Genomic DNA, 7679 nt, shown 5'->3' with positions numbered 1-7679 from the left:
AAACTGCCTAAGATGTTAGAACTAACAAGTCCTGAAGTTCAAACCCAAGTATGACTGTCAACATGAGGTTCTTTCTACAAACAGCAATTCTGGAAGCTTCCATTTACAGAGTGTTGCCCACAGAAGGGGCCTGGAATACTGGTTGTTCATGGAATCTTCACTACTGCCCCATGAAGTAGAGACAACGATTAAGCCCATTTTACCAATGAGGAAAATGGAAGCACAGAGAGACCTAATAACCTTCCTAAGATCACACAGTGAGACAGGACCCACAGTTGTTCTCTTTCCTCACCTCATCACACTGCAGCCATGACCAACCAAGAGGGCACAATCGTCACTTAAGGCATGAAGAAGCTCTGGTCATAGGCTTGACTTGCAGGTGAGCCACCGATCGGGGTTGCTCAATGTGTCCTGAGCCCAATTCAAGTCAGATTGTGAAACCTTTGCTTCAACAGTCCCAGTGATGGGAAGCTCAATGGGAAGCGAGTCTCTCAGTCAGCTGCCAATGAGTCTTTCCTTCCCTGAATGCACATAGTGGGTATCATATTAAGATGTGAGGGTTACATTCTCTCCCCTTGAATCTGGGCTGGCCCTGTGATATGATGAGCAGAATGTAGTAGAGGTGACACTCCAGAACTTCCAAGCCCAAATCCAAGATTAGCAGTTTCTCCTTCCTTCCCCTTGGGACACAATCACAAGAGAAGCCTGGGCCCCAAGGAGAAGCCACATGGAGGAGAACCAAGGTGTTCCAGTTGACAACTCTAAAAGACCTCCTGCCAACAGCCAGCACCAGCTGCCAGCAGGGGGAATGAGCTGCTTTAGATTGCCAGCCAGCATGGAGACCCCAGGTGACTGCAGCCAGCGACATCATGAAGAGCAGCAGAACCAACCAGCTGAGCCCTGTCACCCCACAGAATCACAAGAATAACAAAACAGTCGGTGGCTTAAGTCATTGATCTCCTAGACATTTTACTGTGCTGCTACCAATAACTACCTTGTGAGGCAGCCTGTGTACCTGGAGACTGTTCCACCTTTAGGTGTTTTTTCCATAAAGCTAAATCCTCATTCTTTCATTTGTCTCCCTGGTTGGAGATCTCCCTCAGGAACCACATAGAACACATGACAGAGAATTAGAAATGAAGGGGTATGAGTTATTAAAGACCAGCTTGTCCATATTGCTAACTATACAGATTAGTGATTGAAGGCCAAACAGATTCTGTGGCATTCTCTGACCTCCCATCCAGGTTGGGTACCCCACTCTGAGCTCCCACAATCCCCTCTGCTTTTCCCACGAAAGCACTTACCACACCACACTACCTCCTAATAACGTGGTAACATCTCTTTCCAGGCAAGAGGCCATAGGCTGGACCAGAAGCTCCCTGAAGGCAGGACCATGTCCATTTTGTAGGCTGCCATATTCTCAAAGCTCATTCTAAATGCATAAATGAATGAATGACTTGCCCGCATCACAGAACATGTGGAATGCCTTCATTCAGTGAACAAGCCTGGGTCAGGAGTCTTCCATGGGCCAGGCACTGATCCAGATCGTCCCCCTAGCACAGGAGATGCTGCCAAGAGAAAAATAGATAACAGTCCTACCTCAGGAACTTCCAGCCAGAAAGGGGAAAGACAAACAGCACAAATAACTAAAATAAGTAAACTATAGAGTGCACCTGCATCAGACAAGAGTAGTGCTATGGAGAAAAACAAATTGAGAAAAGAGGGTAAGCCATGCAAGCAGTTGGTGGGGGTGGTTCTTATGATGAGATGACACCTGGGGAGCCGTGGGTCCTGGTGCATCCGGGGAAGACCCACGGCCAAGGGGAATGGCAACACAAAGACCTGAGACAGGGCCTGCTAGGCCTGTTGGGGAACATCAAGAAGCCCCAGATGGCTGGAACAGAGGGTCAGAGGAGAGGGATCCTAGCCTGTGGCCAGCCAACTGGCTTTTGGAGACAGTTACCACGTTCCTCATAAGACTCTGCTTCTAACCATTCAGCTAGTCTAGTTCCCTTTTCCTTCAATCCCAGCTAGTAAACTCCTCACCGAATTCCAATCACCTGCCTTCCCGGAGAATGCCAGTGGGATTGGGGCTGGAGAGGGGACAGACACCCTGGAGGGCCAGGTCACTTCCTCTAAGAAGAAGACAAAGCTGTGCCCCTCCCAGGGGCAGTCACATCCGAGTCGGAAGCATCTAGATTCAGTTAGCCACAATCTTACAATATTCCTTCATTCTTGGACCCACCAGGACATAGCATGCTGCCTGGAAAGAAGGGACTTGGGGACACAGTGCCTACCGTGAGAGCCACAGGGCTGGGCACACATCTGAACGTTCTGGGATGCTTTCATGCCACTGAGTTCAAAGTCAGTGCCTCCCCGGTGATGCAGCCACCTCTATGGAGCCTTCCCGGCCTGGAGTCACCTGGCTTCCGTTGCCCAACAATCTCCAAAAACCCCTCGCGGGGAGGCCTGTGTCCCGCCTGTGGTCCTGGGCTTTTGTTCTTGTTTATTTATCTGTGTCTGTCTCAACTGTCAGGGCAGCTTGCTTTCTTCCACCCCTTGTCTCACCGTGCCTTGCCTTTGGGTCTTTGCCTTTGGGTTTGTGAATTGTCTTCAGGTGCTCCAGCCCTGCAGGTCCTAACCCACTAGCCAATCATGTAATCAGCATAATGAGCTCACGCCACCTTGGAAAAAAATACAAAAGAGCGGAGTAGAACAGACGAGAGCACACATCACAGGATAAGAAAAGGCACTGCTTTGAAACCTTTGTGTCTGCGCATGTGTGTCAGAGTGCATGTGTGCACACACACACGTGTGTAAGTGTGTCCCTGTGTGTCTTGCACACAGTAGTCCAGGCATATGCTATGATATTGTAATAAAAAGAGCAAAAATATGGTGGCTGAACCAGATGGGATTTTTATTCTCTCTCCTGTGCCAGTCCAGAGGGGGACAGGTGGGCAGGGCTAACAGATGGCTCTGTTCCATGGGCTAATCTAGGCACCAGATCCCTCCTATCTGTCCCTCTTCCCCTGAGTATGACCCTCACCTGCATGGCAGGAGCTGACTCCACCCTCGGGGCTGCCCACAGGAGGGAGATGGAGAGGAAGTGGAAGGCAAGTTCTGTTCTTTTCAAAGGACGTGACCAGATCTGTGGTGCACACACTTCTTTTTGCACCCTATTGGCCAGAAGGCGGTCTCACGTCCATACCTACTGGCAAGAGGTGAAGGCTGGGGAAGGTGGTCTCCCACCTTCCAGACCCTCTAAAACCTAGGAGGTTCTGTTGCTAAATGCAACCAAAGGAGAACGAAAGCCAGTTAGTGTTCTCTGCCACCCCAGATAACCAGATAAAATGACTCCTTACCGGGGTGACATCAGGAAAGTTGAGAAGTCACCGCTTTACGCCACTCTCTGTCTTCCTTTGTGAAAACACCCAGGATCCTCTACCTAGTGGAAAGGGCAAGCTCTGAACTTCAGGAAAGCATGACCACAGTCCTCTTCGGCATTAACTGGTTCCGTTCCATGTACCAGTTAGACACGGGATCTCCTTGTGCCTCAGTCTCCCCTGCAGTAAAATAGGGGCAGGGGACCCAACTCCCAAATCACAGTTCCTGGATGTCTGAAATGAGATTGGGAACGTGAATCCTTTCTGAAATGGGAGTGACGTCTCTGAGAGAAAGACGGGATTCTCCCCTTCCTGCTCTCACTGTACTGTAAATTAACCACATGGACTTGAAGGAGGCCTTCCTTCTGGGTCTCAGCTTTTACTTGTAACACAGAAGAGAGTTAGAGTTGGTGTCTTTAAGGTCTGACATTTGAGCATCATTCTTTCTTGTCCCTACACAGAGTCTTCTCTATCTGGTCCCAAGCTACTGAACTGCAAGTTTAACCCAATGAGCTGGAATATGACGAGAATGTTGTTACCCTGAATACACTTCAGGGGAGACCATGAAATTATCTCTTCAATGACATTTGGTGTTTTAACACGATAAGGCCTGATTTGTGACTGAGTTTGCAGATGGAGAATCACTGAGGAAAAATCTTGGAATATTAAAAAAATAATAACTTGCTCTTTAGGTAACTATGTTGGAGGGGCTCATTTCTAGCATCTAAGCCTCAGATGTTTTTTTTGGGTTTTGTTTTGTTTTGTTTTTTTGAGACGGAATTTTACTCTTGATGCCCAGGCTAGAGTACAATGGCGCGATCTCGGCTCACTGCAACCTCTGCCTCCCAGGTTCAAGAAATTCTCCTGCCTCAGCCTCCCGAGGAGCTGGGATTATAGGTGCCCACCACCACGCCCGGCTAATTTTTGTGTTTTCAGTAGAGACGGGGTTTCGCCATGTTGACCAGGCTAGTCTTGAACTCCTGGCCTCAGGCGATCTGCCCGCCTTGGCCTCCCAAAGTGCTGAGATTACAGGCGTGAGCCACTGCACCCAGCTCAGATGCTGTTTTAAAAGACAGAGATTGCCAAAAGACAGGGGCTGCTTTTTAAGTAGAATGATCACGTGTTAAGAATGCTTCCTTTCCAAACCCTTTCTACCCATCTCCAAGGTCACCCATCAAAGCCAGCCCAAGATCAGTTAAGCAAAGAGCCATCAGAAACCAACATTCTACACAAAGGGCAGTGGGTGGCTTCAGTCTCCGTGCCATATCATTATACCTTGAAATCAAGCTCTTGACATGTTGTGCTTGAAATGTACAACTTTTAGCTAATTAGAAGGCTAAAAAATGCAACTTAATGAATTCAAGACTTGTTTATGCTAACCTGCCAAGGCGTTTGGCAATGAAAAAGTGTGATTTGGTGAACATCTGATTGCAGGCCGTGTGGAATTCCACATGTAGAGAGGCTGGGTTGGATCGGGTTTTTACTCAACTATTGTCTAAAATGTGAACTAATTTCCGACTACCTCATAAGAACTTCTAAGTAGGGTTGACAAAGGATTTATCATAATTATTGCTCTGGCCAGGACCGTGATTATAAGTGATACATGTGTAAACTGTGTTTATAAAATTTCCGAGTCACAATTAAAACATGCTGTATTTTTTCTCCCTTTTCCCTTTGACTTGCCTTAAAACTTTTTCTCCCTCAAATTAATACCTGCCAGTGATTTCCTTTGGACAGAACAGACTCCCAGCACATACTCACACAAATTCTCAAGAAGCTTTTGATCTGCCATTTTTTTCAAACCCACCCTCTGAGAAAGTCGTGCAGCTATCAATACTTTCCATAACCCTTCTTTTCGAAGCCACAAACTGAAAGTAATTTGCAAATGCCATTAGGTGCTTTTTTCTTTTTCTTGTTTAGTGCCAAGCGATGTTAAAACTATAGGGTTTATGGAGGCTATGTCTGAAGAAGAAATGAAATGGTTTTCAAGGGGTGGCAGAAGGAAGATGGGGGAAGAAAAGGAGAATGTGTTGAGAACTGAGATAGAAATATCACCAAAAAATGTGCGTACGTTTAACATTCATCTACTAGAGCAAACTTAGTCATTCAAGGTTTCCATATATGTTATTCAAATCTTCAACATATGTGTTAATTTTGTCTATTTGACCTATCAATGTTTAAAGATATGCTAAAATCTCTAACTAGTGAAGATTTGATTTACCTGTTTCTTCCCATTGTACTGTCTATTGTGGATTTATTGGTAAAACCATTATAGAAACATAGATTTTGTAGGCAACGAATAACTTTTTTTAAGGCATAAAAACTATATAAGACAAGAAAGGCCCAGGAATAGATGGTGAAATCCTCAGGGTCAGGCAGCACCTTGATGATCCTGACCCGCCTGAGTTCCCCTTCTGTCAGTGACGGGCAACCATGCTCTGTACCACGGCTCCCTGGCAACAAATCTGATTGGTCCATGTCTGGCCCTGAGCCAAGGGCAGCCAGTCCACTGGGTTCCCATAGCCAATAATGTGCCTCCAGCAGGCAGATGGATAGGCCAATCAGACGACCTCTCTTAAGAATTTGGACTAGGATATGTCCCTGAATGAGGTGTGAGGGGCAGGCACTGCAGCTGCCAGGGATGGTAGAGCAGGATGCGGGAAGCCCCATGGTTCTAAGGGATCTTCCCCTGGACCACAAAGTCCACCAGGGCCAGGATTGCCTTTGCTTAATGTGGGGTTGTCCATTTGAACAAAAGTTCTTTGAAAAGAACTTTGAAGGAAAGAGAGTTTATTCCAGTGAACAGTTTGCAAACCAGGGAGTGGCAGGATCCAGTGTAAGATGAAGGTGTGTTCCAGAGAACAAAGAGAAGGCTCCATTTTATAGCAAACCTTCCTATCCGGGTTCCCAATAAGGTCCCTGTATGCAAATGAAGACTTGAAACTCACTTAGTTCTGATTGGTCAGTGATACTGAGCTTTGATTGGTTGATGCAGCTGAGCTTTGATTGGCCAAAGCAGGTGAGCTCTGATTGGTTGGCTCAGGTAAGCTCTGAAAGTTTCAAAGAAGGTACAGGTCTTCCCAGAATTCACAGTAATATGTCAGCAAATGGCCACTTAGCTCTATTTTAAATGTAGGCCTAATTAGCCACTTGGGAGCCATCTTGAAGGACTGGCTCTTTTGTGTTCATATTTGTTAACATATGATTAGTTTAGATTTTTATGTTAGAAATCCCAAGGGTTTATTTCATTTTATTTTTTGAGACAGAGTCTCGCTCTGTCACCCAGGCTGGAGTGCACTGGTGTGACCTCTGCTCACGGCCACCTCTGCCTCCCGGGTTCAAGTGATTCTTGTGCCTCTGCCCTACCTGAGTAGCTGGGATTACAAGTGGCCGCCACCACACCCGGCTAACTTTTGTATTTTTAGAAGAGATGGGGTTTCGCCATGTTGGCCAGGCTGGTCTCGAACTTGTGGCTTCAAGTGATCTGCCCACCTCAGCCTCCCACAGTGCCCAAGAGTATTTAAAAGCCAAAGCTACAAGGAAGGAAAACATCCAGCAAAGAAAAGATACTCACAGCGATAGACTACAGGACAACAGAAACACAGGAAGCCACCGGAGGCCCTAAGTCCCAGCACCCTAGGCCCAGAGACAGACCCAGAGCAATGAGGCCCCAAAGCGGGCTCTGGCTTCTCCATCCTGGAACCTTCCAGGTCATAGGCAGCCATACAGGAAACCCCTTTCCGGGATGTGTTCCCAGCGGGCCCCTGCTCCCTATACCTGCGAACCAAACCTACTCAGAAATCAATGCAGAGACCTCGACTTTCAGCCTGGGTTCGAATTCCAGCTCCATTACTTCTAGCTAAGTGATGTTGGACAAGTTACGTAACCTCTCTGAGCTTTGCTTTCCTTACCTGTAAAATGCAGATACCAGCAGTGCCAATTTCATAGGTCGCTGTAGGCATTATGTGGAAATCCACAAAAAGCCCTCTTCATAGCAGCTGGCACTTAATAAACACGTGACTGTTAGCTATTATGGTTGCTTTTTCTTTATTAGATTTTGCTGTGGATAAGAATGCAGCTAGAGCAGAATGGCCCATTGGTTTCACGTGTGAATTTCTGAACCAAATCAGCTGGGCCCAAGTCTTTGCAACTGAGTTCGCTGTGAAACCTTCAGCAAAGTAAACTCTGTGGGCCTCAGTTTCTTTAAGCATCGAACAGGGATGACAGTCACACTTAACTCACGGGGCTGTTGTTAAAATTAATGAATTAATATTTGTGAAACACTTATCCAATGCC

The 7679-nt window shown here is 46.8% G+C and overlaps 1 annotated feature.

Annotated features, from left to right (window-relative positions):
* Window positions 1898-2398: an enhancer, noted in NCBI's record as "H3K4me1 hESC enhancer chr16:86679869-86680369 (GRCh37/hg19 assembly coordinates)". NCBI's record gives its function as "activates a minimal SCP1, AML or CMV promoter by ChIP-STARR-seq in naive H9 embryonic stem cells {active_cell/tissue: H9 hESC(naive)}" and the evidence as "EXISTENCE:reporter gene assay evidence [ECO:0000049][PMID:30033119]".

The sequence above is a fragment of the Homo sapiens genome, chromosome 16 (assembly GCF_000001405.40).
Source record: "Homo sapiens chromosome 16, GRCh38.p14 Primary Assembly".
NCBI classification, from domain to species: Eukaryota; Metazoa; Chordata; class Mammalia; order Primates; family Hominidae; genus Homo; species Homo sapiens.
Note: the sequence above shows the minus strand (reverse complement) of the source record. Positions and strands in the feature narration are given on the sequence as shown.